An 18,050-nucleotide genomic window follows, 5' to 3' on the forward strand; every position below is an offset into this window, starting at 1 on the left:
TATATACATTTATTTTTCCAAGCTCTATTAAGGTAGAATGGACAAAAGCATTTTATATTTTGGCAAGAACAATGCTTATAATGTTAAAATGGAATTTAAATCCTCTTCTTTTCAACATGGATTTTATATATTATTTGTATATCATGATATTCCAATTGGATTCAAGCCCATGTGGCCTTCTATTCACTTTCTTGTATTCCTCTGGTGCAGGACGAAAAATCCCTAAGATAATTTGTTACTGGGCTTGGCCCCATTTACTCCACCACTTTTTTCCATATATTTTGCATCTATTAAATACAAAAGGCAGTTGACTCTGTGGGCCAGGCCTGATAGGATTTTCATCTGTATCATCTTCAGGTAGACAGCCTGTGTGAACCCAACCTCATAACAGGTAACTCTGAAAGCATCAGTTCAGCTCTTAGAATCTAGGAGAAAAGCATTCTGTATCTCCCACTTTTACTATATTCTGTAACAGATACTTTTCAGCAAATACATATGTACAGTTTTCCTCAAGTATGTATGTACAATTATAAACACTGTCCATGTGCAGCCATGATTTTTATCTAATGTGTTTGTCACTGAGAAGTGTTCAGCTTCTGCATTCTGAGAACATTTAGTAGAAATGATTTCCTAGAACTAGGGCCCAATAACATATGTCATTTCTCATGCTGTATCTCATTGTGCTGTTTCTGACTAGCCATGATTTCTTCTTGGCAGTTAGCAAAGCTCCAACTCCCTTGAGGAAGCCTATAATATTCTTCGTCATTTTTTTTCCATGCTGGCCATAGCACTTAAGAGAGCAAGTCAGAGATGATAACTCATGCTATAGTTCTGAAGTGGGAAGCAATTATTTAATACTGAATATAAGCAGAAAAGACTGCTTATATTAAATATAAGCAGTATTAAATATCACTCTGTCTTCAAAGGTGCCCAAAAACGAGAGCTCCAGTGTGTGCAGCCTGACTGCTAAATAAGGTGGAGGCTTCTGCATATGCTTTAACGTGCAGGCGTGAAACACCATGGCAGAACCACCACTAGATCTCAGAGGCTGTAGTGGGAAAGATTTAAATTTAACAAGAAAATCTTAAATCTAATAAAAGCATTTGATATTTATGAATATTGCATGTTCAGCATAAAATAAGCCCATTTTATTTCACTAAGAAGCTCTCATTTCTGCATATATAAATGTAAAATGAAAGATATAATCTAGAGCCAAAGAAAGCCCTGTTACTGTATTTCCTTTGTGTTTATTCATGCATATTTGTATATATATTACTAAATATGGTTTATTTTTTATACTTATTGATGGTGTATGCTCGATTTTTTTTTTTCATAATGGTTTAAGCTGTAAGAAGTTGCTATCACCCTTGAGCTATCCTCCTGGAAACCTCTTCTTTTATTCCCCCATAAATTGGTGTGTATATTTGGTTTTAATACTGTGTCTGCTGGGGAAATGAAAAAATGATAAAGTTGTCACAATCAGGCATTTTCACTGGGGGTTGATCTCTGAAGTGAACTCCTTATGCCAAACTCTTCCTTCCATTTCCCACTCCCCTTCTGTGTTTGTCCTGTGTGTTTGTTTCCTGACATCTAAAAAAGGAGGAAGATTTTTCTTGTCAAGGGAAGGTCTCATTTCTATGTAACCACTAAGCATCGGACTAAGAACAGAAAGAAGAGCTGACATGGCTTTGCAGCTCAGCCAGGAGCTTTAAATAGACAGAGGCTGTGTTTTATTATTGCTCTGAATAGTTTAGCTACCTCCATTTCACAGCCCTTTTCTGAGTGCTCAGAGATGGTAGCCCTTTTGTAAGAGTGATATTACCAGAGGGATCAGTGGCTGGTCTGCAGCCAGGACTCAAACATTCCTCAAGACACTGAGGACTGCCTGCAGTGACAGGTTCAGGCTGACTGACAGAGCCCAAGGAATGAGCTCAAACCAACCTTTTGCACCCAACTTCCTTTCAAATGAAAGTGACAGGGGTTGAAGGCTCTCATGGCTTTTGAGGTACCTTTTGGAAGCAGACCCAGAAGAGATTATTTGGAAACACTTGGTAAAGGGGTGATGGCACAAATTTCTGTGATATGTAAGGAGAAATATTATGTAAATTATCAGGTTTCTCTCAGTGCATGTGCTTTAAATGACAGATGTGACTTAGTTTTTGAGTAAACTTTGTCTTCTCGTTGATCCTCTTATGTAAACCTAATCATTGTGTTACTTAGGATATTGCCTTCTGAATCACTTTAGTCAGATTCCAGGTAGAGCTTCCCTTTGATCCCTGAACCTACAAGCTATCCAGAAGATATTTTAATGGTCAAAGAAGGTGGTACTTGCAGACTTAATTTACCAGGAAATGTAGTCATAGCTGTTTATAGCTATTTTAAGCAATCACTGCATAGAAACTGAAAGTGTAAGAAAGGGAGGACTCACGTAGCTGTCTTTCTACCTTGTTTTGTGTTTCATGCAGCAAACATCATTTTATTATACAAGGAAGGATATAAAGGACACAGTATTTTTTTTTTAATTTTGGGGAAAGTGCTTGAATGAAGTTTCATGGAATTATCTTTATTTCCCAGAAAAGAGAAAACTTAATGATAATGTGAATTTTCAATTTTAGAAATGAATCTTCTCTGGCATATTGAAAGTACTTCTAAGAAAAATTGCTTTAAAGTGTGAGTAGGATAAACTAAAGTTGGAATGGACCTCTCAGGAATCTGATATGACTTTTTGTTAAAAGATAGATCTAAGTTCTGCCTAGTTATATTATGTGCAGAATTGGGAATGGAAGATAAATACGAAGCTGAAACTGTTACGAAGGTTTGCTGGGTACCTAATAGTGGTTTGGGAAATATAGGTCTTTTGGGTATCAAAACTTTCTTTAGCAGAGAAGTACTTGAATTGCACAATAGAATTGTTTTTACTTTAGCTAACAAGATGTCGTATATTCTTATGACCTACAGATTTTAAACTAAGATCTAGAAAAATACTTGTAGCAATGATCAATAGACCACATTGCTTTTTGAGTTCAGGTAGGTTACATAATCCTGGAATACAGCTTTACCTCATTATCTAGCTAAATTTCCTTTTGCTTTGAGGGTCACAAGTGCTAGTAGGAATCCCTGGTCGCTGGAATGATTTTGTATAAATGTAAGGAAAAGGAACAACAGTGCTGAAACTTGAGGAAATAGATCCTCAGCAATATCTCACTACTGTGCTGCTTTTGAAAAGAAAGTGTGATTTTTATTTATTTATTTATTTTTTAAGATGGAGTCTCGCTCTGTCACCGAGGCTGGAGTGCAGTGACGCGATCTTGGCCCACTGCAACCTCCGCCTCCCAGGTTCAAGCGATTCTCCTGCCTCAGCCTCCCGAGTAGCTGGGACTACACGCATGTGCCACCACGCCCAGCTAATTTTTTGTATTTTTAGTAGAGACAGAGTTTCACTGCATTAGCCAGGATGGTCTTGATCTCCTGACCCCGTGATCCACCCTCCTCGGCCTCCCAAAGTGCTGGGATTATGGATGTGAGCCACTGCAACTGGCCAAAAGTATGATTTATTAAACAAAAGTCTGAGGCTGATGAAATTGAACACTGACTATGAAGGAACAAAGAGTAGGAAAGAGCTCAAACACTTAAAATAGTTAAAAGTTGCTTTGACTATATTAAAAATGATGATTATAGTTCGTATTTTTAAGGTGTGGGGAAAATATGTCATACATTTTGAGGTTGAAGTTTTATAGATGTACATTTTCACTTGTTTTTATTTTTTGGTTTGTACTGTGTTTTTATTTATACTTAACAAATAGTGGTTTTAGGTAATAGTTTCTTGAATACCTAAGGTAATCTCTGTACAACAGAAAAGTAGTGTTGAAGTTAGAGCTCTCAGAATAGGAGGTCTGAAGAAGTAGTAGTTAATTAATTTTAAAACTCTAGGCCGGGCATGGTGGCTCATGCGTGTAATCCCAGCACTTTGGGAGGCCGAGATGGGTGGATCACCTGCGGTGAGGGGTTCAAGACCAGCCTGGCCAACATGGCAAAACCCTGTCTCTACTAAAAATACAGAAATTAGCCAGGCATGGTGGTACCCGTCTATAATCCCAGCATACTCGGGAGGGTGAGGCAGAAGAATCACTTTAACCTGGGAGGTGGAGGCTGCAGTGAGCCGAGATTACGCCACTGCAGTCCAGCCTGGGTGACAGAGCGAGACTCTGTCTCAAACAAAACAAACAAACAAAAAAAACCACCAAAAAAAACAAAAAACAAAAAACAAAACAAAAAAAAAACCTTAAAAAACTAATGGACTTGAGAGATGCCCTGGACTGACTTTTTAATCTACTGGTCTTCAATGACTTTTTCTCTGACTCAACAGTAGTTTCATAAAGCAAAGCTAACTTTATTCATTTGATATTTTGTTCTTCCTACTTTTTTGGTGCTAAAATATCCTTTCATTTATGAAATAATACTGATAATTTTTTAAAAAGTCTTATTATTTGACAAAGTAAAAACCCATTTCACCACTTTAAAATCTTTTTTGAGCTTTTTCTGATCCATGAAATTGAAGAGCGAGTGTGGCAGCCACTGATCTACTCCAATGGTTTTCAGTATTATATTGAGTGACCTATGGACTCTCCTCTCCACCCCCCACCACCCCCGCGTGAGAATATTATTTGGGCAAGGCTCTAGGGTTCCATTTAGTCCTCATCCAGACCAGCTCAACTTTATTTTCCTCTTTACATTTTGAACTTCCAGGGAATATTTTATTTGAAATATTGTTTTCCTTAAATGTATACATACATAGCTACATAGCTAATACTTTTAAAGTACCCAAATAAGTTAGGGCTGAAAGCAAGTGAATGACTTGCCTAATGTCATAGCTTCTTTGGTGGCAGAACTGGTATATGCCCCCAGGTTTCCTGAATCTTCATTCCCTGTTATTGTTTATTGTCCTATGCCCTTTCTGTATGTTGCTTTTTTTTCTTTTTCTATGTAAAAACAAATCGCATCCATGATACATGATCTAACGACTAGTCATGGAAAATTACTAATAGCAAATACCTTTAGTAAGGAAAGAACTCTGGGCTGAGATCTAGAAGGCAGGCTATGTCTTAAAGTTTCTGGGTGGCTGGGGACAAGCCATTTATCTTTCTGGGCCTGTTCTCAGCATGTGTAAAAGGTTACCCCTTTCATGAAGATTTTTCTGACTCTCTCACATATTATGGGCTCCTGCTTTTGGAACTACTCCCGTGGTCCCCTGTCTAGAGCACCGCCAATAATTACAGTGCTGATGTGGTTGCACTTCTCTCTCTCTTTGGCTCTGGCTCTTGTTTTCCTTTGTGTGCCTATCTCTCATCACAGTGCTTTGTTGGCTGAGGGCAGGCTTTCTGGCTCACAGTTGGCCATCTCCTCGCAAACAGTGCTGAGGTCACTCATATTATGATTTCTTATTTTGTAGACAAGGAAATTGAAGCTTAGGAAGTTGAAGTAACTTTCCCAATAACATACAGCTAGGAAATGGCAGAGCCAGGATGCAAATCTGCTTTATATGACGCTGAAGCGTTGACTCTTAAGCATTAGGCCATAGGTCATTTCCGAGGTAGTCAAGAATATTCAATTTGAGAGTCTTAAAAACTGAAGCAGAAGTTGCAAGTAAATATTTCTTCTCCTGAAATTGCTTTCCTTATCCACAATTAGTTCTCTTTTATAGGTGGCTGCATTGAGAAACAGAATATTAAGAAGCAGAACAGAACCATAGGCGGATACAGAATATTGTGCATCTCCTATTAGTTACTATAAAATCTCACTGGAATCCCAGCAGCTTAATTTTTTCTTACAAATGAAAAATTAGGAAACATTTACCATTATTTCCAGCCCAGGAAGACCTGTTAAACATACCATATTCTCATATCTTCTTGATTTTTAAATTTTATACATGTTTTCCCTCTGCCTAGGATATCTTCTCCTTCATTGCTTTTTCCTCTGAACTGTTTCCGTTTTGAAGCCTTTTCTGCCTCCTTCAGGCCGACTCATGACGTTCTTCCTTTCTGGACCACCGGACTTCGTGTACATTATTCTGCCGTGTTACTTGGTGATTGTCTCTCATCACTAGACTATAAACTCCTTGAGAGCAGCAGCTGAGTTTTTTTCATGGATGGCACATAATAAATGCTCTGTAGATATTTGAATCAGTGAAATGCAACTATATTCATTCTTAAAGTTAACACTTTACATGTTAATGCTATGTCAGTTATAAGATCCTTGAGGTCTAGCACCGGGGCCTGCAGAATACAGTGAATTTCCATTCTGCCAGACTGGATGTATCTAACACACTCAGCCCTTTCCAAGTTCCTACTTCCCTTCTACCCCATCTTGTGTTAAACAAATCCGTGAATTTGTATTAAGATGATAGATTCTTAATATTAAAACAATGTAGTAAACTCTGTAGGCAATCAGAATCCCATTAGAATCCTTCACGCATGCCTTATTTGCGAAGAATTTAATAAATTCTTAAAGGATGAGTTGTCCTAAGATGTGCATATTGATTTTGCCTTTCTTCCTTCTTTTTATCTAACTTCGAGCTCCTCAAGTTGCATATGGAAAACTTGAGTGTATGGTACTGTATGGGTGGTAAAAGGGATACTCTAGGGTAATTTGATATGTTGATTTTCACCTTGCCTGTCAGCTTTGGAACTGAATGCCCATGGAAGTTGTGACTTCATTCTGTGATGCAGTTCCTTGCTCATAAATATTTGTTGATTGACCAAAAAAGTGGATCCTGCTAAAATGTCTTCATTGGCAGTATCATGGTGAATGTTGCATTTGATGCCATTGAACGTGAGTAGCCTGAATAATTGTGACCTTATTCAAATGTGGTTAGATTGTAGGAGAGCTAGCACTCAGATCCAGGTCGGATTGCACTCCTTGACTCTGACCACTGATGACTCTGCAGTGGGTGTTAAGGATGATCTTAAACCTGTTCAGGGCAGCCATTAACTCTGAGAATAAGAGGAAATTTTTCAGGAAACAAGTCAAACCTTTTACACTTGGAGTATTAGACCAGATTAATTTAAGGCAGAATTTTAATGACTATGTCAGAATGTGTTTATTCTAATACTTCTTAGAGAATTAATGTTTGGTGTTAGAGTCAGAATACTGTTTCTTTTATTAAACTTGCAAAATGTACTAACCAGATAAAACTTGAGGAAAACAGATTCCTAATAAATTTGAGTAAGGTGTAAAAAAAAAGGGCTGTGTGTGTACATATCCCTTTGTTTATGTTGTAGAAAATAGTTGTATTATTAAGTGGTCTGATAGTCTGTTCAGTTGGGTGGTCATTTAGATCCTTTCCAATGAAACAGCCTAAACAGTAAATAAATCCAGGTGATGCCCTTTATACTTCATCATGGTTGATTCAGCTTAGGTGAAGTTAGAGATAATTTGACATTTATATGCTTGAGTTAGGGATTTATAGGCACATCTAGCAGAACAAATTAACTGTATTTGAATCATTGTGGTCAGTTTCATTATGTGGCTGAGTCTGTGTTATTCCAGTGGTTACATGCTCTACTTTGTAGAGAACTGTGCCTGTGGGTATGTGTGGATGTGACCATCGTGATTGTGGAGACTGATACTTAGGATCATTTGCCTATATTTTTGTATGTATTAGCATTCATTAATGGTCTAAATGATGGTTATTCTTTTGACTGTTAGTAGTCATTACTGGCTGTTGTAAGATTATACCATCATAATTTCTGATATAGTATACAAAAGTCTCTAAGTTGAAAAAAACATGTAGATTCTTTCCTCCTTTCTTCTTCTTCTTGTTTTGTTTCATAACTCAGAATCCTGTTGCTTATGTGAAGAAAAAGAGGCAGGGCTAGAGAACTATTATAAGACTTGATTTTAGTAATTCTCAGCCTATGGTACAAGAATCTGTGTGGGTTTTCCATGTTATTACTAGGAAATTCTAAAATTCTCAGCATTGACTATACAGTGAATAAGTTATCTATACCATACATATATATTATCATAGCTTAAAAGTATGTAAAGGCTATATTAAGATTAACAAAATATGAACTTATTTGTTTTGCTAAATTCAGAGTACTTTTTTGTCTTGTATTTTCTTAAATGACATATACCACTGTAGAATTATCATCTTGTAAATAGTTTGATGTTAAACGTCTTCCTATACTGAAAAAGATTGAGAACACTGCCATATGGTATGTAAGCAGAAACAGCCATACTCCTAACACTTAGTCAAAATTGAAGACAGTCAGTCGTAGGGAGGAAGAAAAGAGGAGGAAGATGGGGAGGAGGAAGCCACTATTTTTTTTTTCTTTTTTCTTTTTTTTGTGAGACAGTCTCACTTCATCACCCAGGCTGGAGTGCAGTGGTGCGACCTCAGCTTACTGCAACCTCCGCCTCCCAGACTGAAGTGATTCTTGTGCCTTACCCTCCCAAGTAGCTGGGACTACAGGCACACGCCACCTTGCCCAGCTAATTTTTCTATTTTTAGTAGAGACAGAGTTTTGCAATGTTGGCCAGGGTGGTCTTAAACTCCTGACCTCAAGTGATCTGCCCACCTTGGCCTATCAAAGTACTGGGATTGCAGGCATCAGCCACTGTGCCCGGCCGCCACTATTTCTTAAAAGGAAGGGAAGGCTCCATTTCCTCCATATCTTAAAGGAGAAAAAAAGCCAGTGGGAAAAGGAAATAACAGAGATGGAACACAGAAAAAGAACAGACGTAAGTTTCCTACTGTGCTAGTTGATACTACTGAGTGTCAACTTGATTGGATTGAAGGATACAAAGTATTGATCCTGGGTGTGTCTGTGAGGGTGTTACCAAGAGAGATTAACATTTGAGTCAGTGGGCTAGGGAAGGCAAATTCACCCTTAATCTAGTAGGCGCAATCTAATCAGCTGCCAGCGAATATAAAGCAGGCAGAAAAATGTGTAAAGGAGAGACTGGCCTAGCCTCCCAGGCTACATCTCTCTCCCTTGCTGGATGCTTCCTGCCCAGATAAATTACCTGTTGTGACTGCCCTGGACGTGCCTGCCTACCAGACACCTGATCTTGCAAGACCATTATTAAAGTCTCACATTTGCTGTTCTTTGCACCTCTAAGTCCATTCTTGGCGTTTGGACGGGTGAGTGTGTTTCTCACAGCAGCACTAAGTATCACTGTCAGAGACTAGAAATAACCTGAATTGTAGGGTAGATAAATTGTGGCATAGTCATATGATGAAATGTTATATATGAAGGAATTACTGCTACATCCAATAATGGGCAAATTTTGAAAACATGATATTGAGCAAAAGATGCCAGACAGAAGAGTAAATACTATGATACTCTATTTACATAAAGGTTTTTTTGTAAAAGCAAAACTAATATTTTCGGTTAGAGTTTACCTTTGAGGAAAAAAGGGAGTCATTACTGGGAAGGAGTGTGAAGGGGGCTCCTGGAGAACTTGAGAGTGTTCTAATTTCTTAAACTGGGTGGTAGTTACATGGGGTGTATTTACTTTGTGAAAACTCATCAAGCTATAAGCCTATGGTTTGTGCAGTTTTTTGGAGGTATGCCATACTTCAATTAAAGCTCAGGAGTTTGAGACCAGCCTGGGCAACATGGTTAAACCCTGTCTCTACTAAAAAATACAAAAGAAATTAGCTGGGCATTGCGGTGCATGCCTGTAGTCCCAGCTACTTGGGAAGGCTGAGGCAGGAGAATTGCTTGAACTCGGGAGGCGGAGGTTGCAGTGAGCAAAGATTGCACCACCGCACTCCAGCCAAAAAATCTCTCTCTCTCTCCCTTTCATCAATCTAATCAACAAGGTCTCACTCTGTTGCCCAGGTTGTGGTGTAGTGGCACTATCATAGCTCACTGTAACCTTGACCGCCTGAGCTCAAGCAGTCCTCCCGCCTTAGCCTCCTGAGTAGCGAGGACTACGAGAATGTACCACCAAATCTGGCTAATTTTCTATTTTTATTTTTGATAGAAACAGGATCTCTCTATGTTGACTAGGCTGGTCATGAACTTCTGGCACCAAGTGATCCTCCCGCCTCAGCCTCCCAATGTGCTGGGATTACAGGCATGAGACAATGAGCCTGGCCAAAGATTACTTTTAAAAAATGATGCGGGTAGACGAGATCTCTTTATATGCTTTCAGCCTAGATATTTTAATCTGTAGATTCAGAAATAAAAGATATTATGGATAACTCTTGTAATTCTAGAAGCATTAGGAGCCTTAGTCCCTGGAGTCATTCATATTTTATGAAAGCTATGAAAGACAATTAATAATTTATGTTATTCAAATACACATTTCTTTTAAAATCCCCTTGTTCCAAGAAGTGTGATGTTTTACCTCCTAAAACTTACAAAACAATTTCCTCTAAATGAGAAAATGAGCTTTATTTTGACTCTGGTGTAAATTAAAATGAAGAAATTGTATTTTTTAAATAAGGAGGAGCGTAGTCGTCATTCTGCTGTTCAGAGACATTTAACCTCCTCCCCACCCCAGTGAGTTTTAGTTTCTACTATAAACTTATGAGGTGGTTTGGTGGCCTTGGAATGTTGTGGAGATCTCTACTCTTCATGCTATCTGATAGGACACTAAGAGCTATTGAATTGGCATTTATTTAGAATAAAGGAACACAAGGGTGATGAAAGGGACATTGGTCTGAGTGATCATTATATGTGACTACTGTAACTTTATAAATTGAAATAGATGAATAGTAACTGACCATAGAAATTCAGAAACATACAAAGCTTGAAAGATCATCTAATAAAGAAGTGACTATCTTCCCATGAGGAGGCATATTCATTTGACTTACCTCATTCTTACCATAGATTCTGGTTATTTATTTATTTTTCCATGCGCATCTTATGTGAATTAAATATTTATTTATTTCCTTTCACCATCTACAGTCTAAAGGTACTTAGCCTCTGTAACGTACCTGGACTGTGTCTGGTCCAGTACTAAGAGTTTACGATCTTATTAAGGGGGAAGTAGGCACTTTTTGTTAATGTAGCCTCATTTTTATCTTTACTTGAGGAAATAAATCTTTTATGATTCCAGATAAAATGTTAAACTTGGAAAATGCTGCAGAAATGGTATATACGTGATCTAAAAGTTCTTTTATCAAGAATTCTATCATTTATCTTCTTTGGATTATGAGATGATTACTGTTAGAATTAAGTGCAGTTGTTTTATTTTACCTATCTTGATTTTCAGCTATGTACATTAGTTTTCCCCCTTACTACAGATACATTTGATTTTTATTTCATAAAATTATCTCATTTCCTTCAGTTGGAAATGATATATATTCTCAAGCTCATCCATTTATTTATATTAGCACAGCTTTCTTTGGAAAGTATATTATCGGAAGGCTTCAGCCTCATTTAATTGCTTTTAACATGAGTTGTGCATGTCTGAATTCTAAACACAACTGCTATTGATCCCAGCCTCCTGGCATCCATCCAACCCTAAGATTTTTGCCCCACTCAGTAGAGCTAGTACATGATGTTTTTGTGGTTGGTACTTTGAGGAGAACAGAAAGTGAGAGAAGAAAAAAAATATTGTCCTCTCTAAGCAAAAGAGAAAAATGAGAGTGGATGGGTCTGTAAGTCCATATTGTGAGTTCATCAGTAATGCTAGATCAGATTTTGGGCTTCAGTTCATTCAGCCTTTATCATTTACTGCCAGGTTGTTAGAGCTCTCCTAAAAGAGCATTAGATTTGAAAAATACGAGGTCCAAATTCAGTTCTTGCCAGTAAGCTTTGGAATCCAAGGCAGTCATGTTTCCTCCGAGCCTCAGTTTCCTCTTTAGAATAACAGTAGTGGTGTTGCCTGCATTGCCAACCTTCCAGGGTTCTTGTGAAGATAATACATGTGTTAGGGCTTTGTGAACTATGAATCACATTAAAAAATGTGAGCCATGATTAATTAGCATTAGTATACGTTGCCTTTTTAGGCAGGTTCGTTCTCAGATACTTAGGATTTAACCAGTGGTTCAATCGCGGCTGGAAATCACTGAAAGATGTCTCAAAATGCCCATATCTAGCTTCCTCCATCCTTACCCTTCTCCCATCAGAATCATTGGGGTAGGGGACTTACTTACATGTGTTCATGCAGTATATATGTATAATTATGATACTACTACTGCCCCATTAAGAACCAGTGGTCTATATCCATATATAGAATAAACTTTATATATATAGAATAGATAGAATAAACTTTATATGTATAGAATATGTAGAATAAACTTCTATACTTTTTTGGTGACAGGGTCTTACTCTGTTGCCCAGGCTGGAGTACAGTGGCGTGATCTTGGCTCACTGCAGCCTTGACTTCCCAGTCCTCAAGCGATTCTCCTGCCTCAGCCTCCTGAGTAGCTGGAACCACACCTGGATAATTTTGTTTATTTTTTTGTAGAGATGAGGTCTTCCTGTGTTGCCCAGGCTGGTCTCGAACTCCTGGACTCACGTGATCCTCTCACCTCAGCCTTCCAAAGTACTGGGATTACAGGTGTGAGCCACCGTGCCTGGCAACTTTTATACTTCTTACAACCCTGAGGTGCTAGGCCTTTTCCACTTTTGGTTTGGCTACACCCCCATGGCAGAATGTATACTAGAAGATATGAGGGTAAATGTAAGCCCAGTCTCTTAAATTAGTTACAAACTCAGCATGCCCAAACTCTAGTTGTCTTTCAGTGTGCCTGATTGCAGTCAGTCTGTCACCTGTTGTTCTTAGCCTGACCCCTTTTCAACACCATCTAAAACCAATGCTGGGATATAAGGGCATCAGAATATGAGAGGTATGTTGCCAAGAGCCTTGTAAAACACAAGGAGCAGCAGGATTTGGTTTCTCCTTGACGGGTATACCTGTAAATCCTGTTGTGTGTTCAGCTCAGTGTTGGAGGAAGGAGAGAGTGCTTCGAGTGATCACACTGGGAGAGAGTGGCCCTGGTGTGTTAGGTGGAACCATTGCTGACTTAGAGGGTCCGACAGCCTGGGACCCTGATTTCTCATCCTGGTGATAGCAGTAGATCACTGTGTGGCCTTGAGCAAATATCTTAACTATGCTGCTTGAAGTGTCCAGGACTATATATCCTGTGGGGCCTCTTTTAGCTCTACAATTCTGATTTCTGTTTTTCAGGAGCCGATGAACTATTATCTGTCATTTTTATATGCTTTCTAACCTTCCCATGTAATATTTTTGAGGTGTGTCACTTATTCTGTATAGTATGTTTGCCAGTGGTTGAAATACAGCAGGAGACTAACCATTTCGGTAGAAAGGATTTGACTGGCCTCCTTGGGGCTTTTGGAAGGCGTCAGATTTGGGAGGGTCTTATCAGGTTTTTTTTACTGGCACACAAGAAGAATAACAGGAGCTGGAGAAATTGGTGAATCATAGAGGATCTCGAATACCAAGTTGAAGATTTGGGCTGACTCAGGAGAGTGTGGGGGATGCAGCGAGATTTTGAGGGGGAATGAAGCATAAGTGGTAGGATGATCCTAGAAGGATTCATTTGTTTACTCTACGCATATTTCTTGAGTGCCCTACTATGTGTTACCCCTCATAATGCCATGATAGAATTAACCTGCTCTAAGGAACCCACAGTCTAGTGGAGGAAATTTGTAAGTAGTGCAATATAATTAATACCATGATAGAGAAGTTTTGGGAGTTGTCTACATATGTAATGATTGAATCCAAAGAAAAAAAATAATAAAATGTCTATTTGGTATTTTCCATGTGTCGGGTAGTATTCTAAGTGCTAATTCCATGGGGAGTTTAAGTAATGTATTTTAAGTGTACAAACTTCAGCTCTTGAAGTTGTAGGTAATAATGTTATTCCCATTTAACAGAAGAAGAAATTTTAGTATAGAAGGTTGCATACCTGCTTGTGTGTAGTGGATTCAGAATTCCATTTTGGTAGTTGGACTCTGGAGAGTGAATGAGAGAAAGAGCCAGGTCACAAATCCTGGGGAACAGCAACAGTTAAGGAACAGGCAGATGAAAAGCAGCTAGGAAAACTGGTATATTTTTCAGGGAAGTATGAAAAGGGAATTTAAAGGAGGACTTGGACAGGAGTGCCAAATGCCACAAGGAGATGAAGTAGGTTGAGAGGATTCGGCAATGAGAGTATTATTTTTATGTTAATAGGATCAATTTTGTTTGCACTGTGTGGTTTAATGGGGCGGGCTGGAGCAGCTTGGAAGGTCACTTTGGAGACCATTTCAGTAGTTGAGATATTAAGTCCTGGGCAGGACTGTGGATAGGTGAAAAGGGCATTTTATTCAAGAAGTATACCTGTAAGATACCAGTAACTGAATGGAACATGGAGATATTAGGAGAGATGAGCCAAAGATCACCCTAAGGTTTCCAAAACTTGGCATATATCATGTGCTGACTACTTTAGGAAGAACTAAGATCTGTAATAGAGGACAATTTTTAATAGCTGCCAGTATTGAACTATTGCATACCATATACTGTGCTAAGGCATGTCATTTAGTCCTCACATGTAGGTATTATCAATACATTTTGACAGATGAGGGACCTGGGGCTTAAGTAAATTAAATGTACTCAAGGACTGACATTTAGTAAGTGACTCCAAAATCTTAACATTTAGCTTCTGTTCTGTAAGGCAGGTCAGTAAAAGATAAAATAATGGACATAATTATAGAAGCACCACTTATGACTGGTATAAAGAACAGTTCAGAAGTTGGAGAGATTATTTTTGACTTGTAGGATTCACAAAAGAAAGCATCCCGGGGAGGGCATTTGAGTCAGGCCCTGAAGCATCAATCAAGATGAGTGTTTGTGAAAGTTCTTTCATAATAATGAACCGTGGAAATATTATAATAACAATAAGTGGGGTCAAATGTGCTAGGTTGACATCAAACAAAAGGAAACATTAAGTCACAGGTTATTACCAGCAGAATTTTACCTGGAAAGTAGAGATTCTTAAAGTGGAGCAGTACAAGTTAAAATAGAGGGTTTTGAATATTAATAATTATAATAAGTAGTTTGAGCTATATATAGTAAGCAGTAGTCACTGAAGAGTTGAGAGAAGTAGGAATGTGTGCTTATGTACCCAGCTCATGTTTAAGTATTTTTGCATATGCATTTATTTAGTAGTTTGAGTAGAAAGTTTGAACTTTGAAGAGTAAGCCAGAGCTTCATTTGACACTCTACCTTGGGAAATGTTGGTTGTTCAATTTAGGCCAATAATTTTTAAAATTGAGATCTAGTCTCATCCATGATAAAATACCACACTGTTTTGAAAATTAGCTACCATAGTCAAGAACCTGGAAGTGAACAAAATGCTTCTGTCAGTCAACATAGAAGTCATGACACCTGTGTGTATGGAGTACATTCATTCTGCCTCTGAGCAAGGCCCACACCCATACACACTAATTTTCATTTTAGTCATTCCTAACTAACATGGTTTTGTGAGTTATAACACTGCGGAAGATAAATAGCAAATTAGAACATGTAGTCTGTTAAAGGCCAGTCCCTTATCAGAAAGTGATGAAACATGATAATGGACAGCAAGGAAAATGTATAGGAAAATTATTAACAAAACAGATATCATGACTTTAAAACACAGTGGCAGGGGCACAGAGCCCCCAGAAATCTCTCTGGACCCAGAGGGCACTACTTTATTATAACACTGATAGTTATAATGCTTTTCCTCAGACATCAAGGAAATAATAACTTATAATCTGTCTTCAGGCAGCCCTCCATATATGGTCTGACTTAAAGATCTCTTTCATTTGAATGGTAGCTTGAGGAAACTCCTAGTTTTCTAGATATTGTAGCTTTGCATATACTGAACCAGGTTCATTTTTCTTTTGCCTGCAGTTCTTAAGACTACTGACTATATTTCTTTACCTTGTCATAGAGGTTTGCAGTTAGGAAGAAGGGGCAGAAAAAAATTTTGGGGGGCCTCATGTCATTTAATACCTAATAACAAAGGACTTTCATAGCAGCATTGTGAAATACTGTTTGTGTTATCTCCATTTTTCAGATGAGGAAAGGAGACTCAAAGTTTAGGTAGAAGGGCATTCTGGGTGCAAGGAACATTATCAGTATGGCTGGATGATTGAAGACCATGAAGGTATGGCTGTGGAAGAGTGAGGAGTTCAGTGTAGGGATTTCTACTTTTTTTTTTTTTGGCCTACACTTTAGAGTAAGAAATACATTTTCCATCCCTTCCCGCTAACATGTACATACAACATTAAAAGAAAAATTTCACAAAATGATAACTTACCTTATTATTTGCCACATGCTCAGAATTTTCCATTTCATTCTATTTTCTTTTTATAAAATGATGGTCACAATCCACTGATGGCTTCATGATACACTGAGTTGATACTCTAATGAGTTTGATGGCACTGGTCTAATGTTAGTTGAAAGTGGATTATTTTATGGAGAGGCAAAGCTAAAGGGGTATGTTGTGGTTATATTCCAAATGTTTTCCTATGCCAATGTTCTCTGATATGGGCAACAAAAGTCCTTGAATTTGTGTCGGTTGCTAACATAACTATGTCTTTGTGGCAGTGCTGTAATATGACAATAATACCCTATCAGAGCTCCCTAGCAGTTTGTGAATAACTTTCACGTATGTTATTTAATTCATTACCCATAATAACCTTGAGATGAAGGTAAGAGGAGCTTTCTATTGAGTTTATACAGATGAAAAAACTGAGGGTTAAAGAGGTAAATCCCCTAGCCACAATTAAGAATTAAGCTTTTTTTTTTTTTTTTCCTGACTGCTTGACAGTGAGTAGGAGAAAAAGCTAAGGTAAACTCTCCTTTTTGAAAGTCTGGGCAGGAAATAATGATAAGGATGGACATGGAAGCGGGAGAAGTTAGATGAAGAATTAAAGGAAAACCCAAATAATGGCTTGATGAATTTACTTGTATATTAAAAGCCATGCACACAATTCTAAACTCTGGTTCTTTCATTTTTAAACCCGTTGTTTTTTTTTTTGTTTGTTTGTTTGTTTTAGTTATCTTGTAAAATTCCAGCCCATTTACCTGGCAAGGCCAGGGCATAAGATTGCCATTATGCTCTGTCATGGCTTATGCTCGTTTTCATCACTCATCTTCTCTTTGAAAGGAGCTGAATTGAGAAAGCATTTTTCATTGTTTAACGTTGAAATCTAAAAATACTGATATTTGAACTTCAGAAACATATTTGAAATAAGACATGTCAGCAGGTCTTTTGTCAATTGTGAATTGTTACAGATGTGACTGAGTCTTCCATTTTGATGCAGATTATTCTGCATTTTTATTGATAAGCTTTCATTAACATTTTATTTTGGGGGAATTTCTTACCCTTCTAAAATTCATTAAATGCATAAGTCTTGCTGTAAATTTCAGTCTGAGCAGACTGTGGATTATTCATGTTTACAAGTAAACTTCAAAATCTTTTTTTTGACAAGCAAAGTTTGATATGTTCAAACTTTTATGAGTCAGTATATCGATACTGACTCAAAATAATGCTTTCTGCAATGTGTTCATTTTTTAAGATTTTAACTGAAATTTTGGCAGTAGAGATTTTTACTTTCATTATAGAAAATTATGGTAAAATGTGGATATGAATTAGGAGAAGGCTGAAATGGAAGAACTTCATTCTTTCACTTGCTCAGGAGAAACCCTAGAGATAGCCTTCACTTCTTTCATTCTTATACTCCACCACAATTTATTAGTAAATCCTATTTGACTTTATCTTAAAAGTAGATGAGAAAATTTGGTGAAGTCCATATAACATCTGGAGTTTAGTTAATAGTAATATACCAGTGTTGGTTTCTTGGTTGGGAGAAATGGACTATAAAATTACAATAGGAGAAATCTGCGTAAGGGGTATATGGGAATTCTGTACTATCTTTGAAAGTTTCTTGTAAATCTACAGTTATTTAAAAATAAAAACTTTATTAAAAATAGATCCAGAGTTTAACCACTTTTTAACACTCCTGCTATCCCTATCATCCAAGTCACCATAATCTGTAACATGAATTACTAATTGTAACAGTCTTCTAACTAGTCTG

At 37.7% G+C, this 18,050-nt stretch overlaps 1 protein-coding gene across 1 annotated transcript in view; it reads left to right on the plus strand.

Moving 5' to 3' along the window:
* Positions 1 to 18,050, plus strand: part of DDX10 (DEAD-box helicase 10) — a 275,859-nt gene that overhangs the window by 187,150 nt on the left and 70,659 nt on the right. The gene's annotated exons all lie outside the window — the stretch shown is intronic.

This window comes from Homo sapiens, chromosome 11 (assembly GCF_000001405.40).
Source record: "Homo sapiens chromosome 11, GRCh38.p14 Primary Assembly".
NCBI lineage: Eukaryota > Metazoa > Chordata > Mammalia > Primates > Hominidae > Homo > Homo sapiens.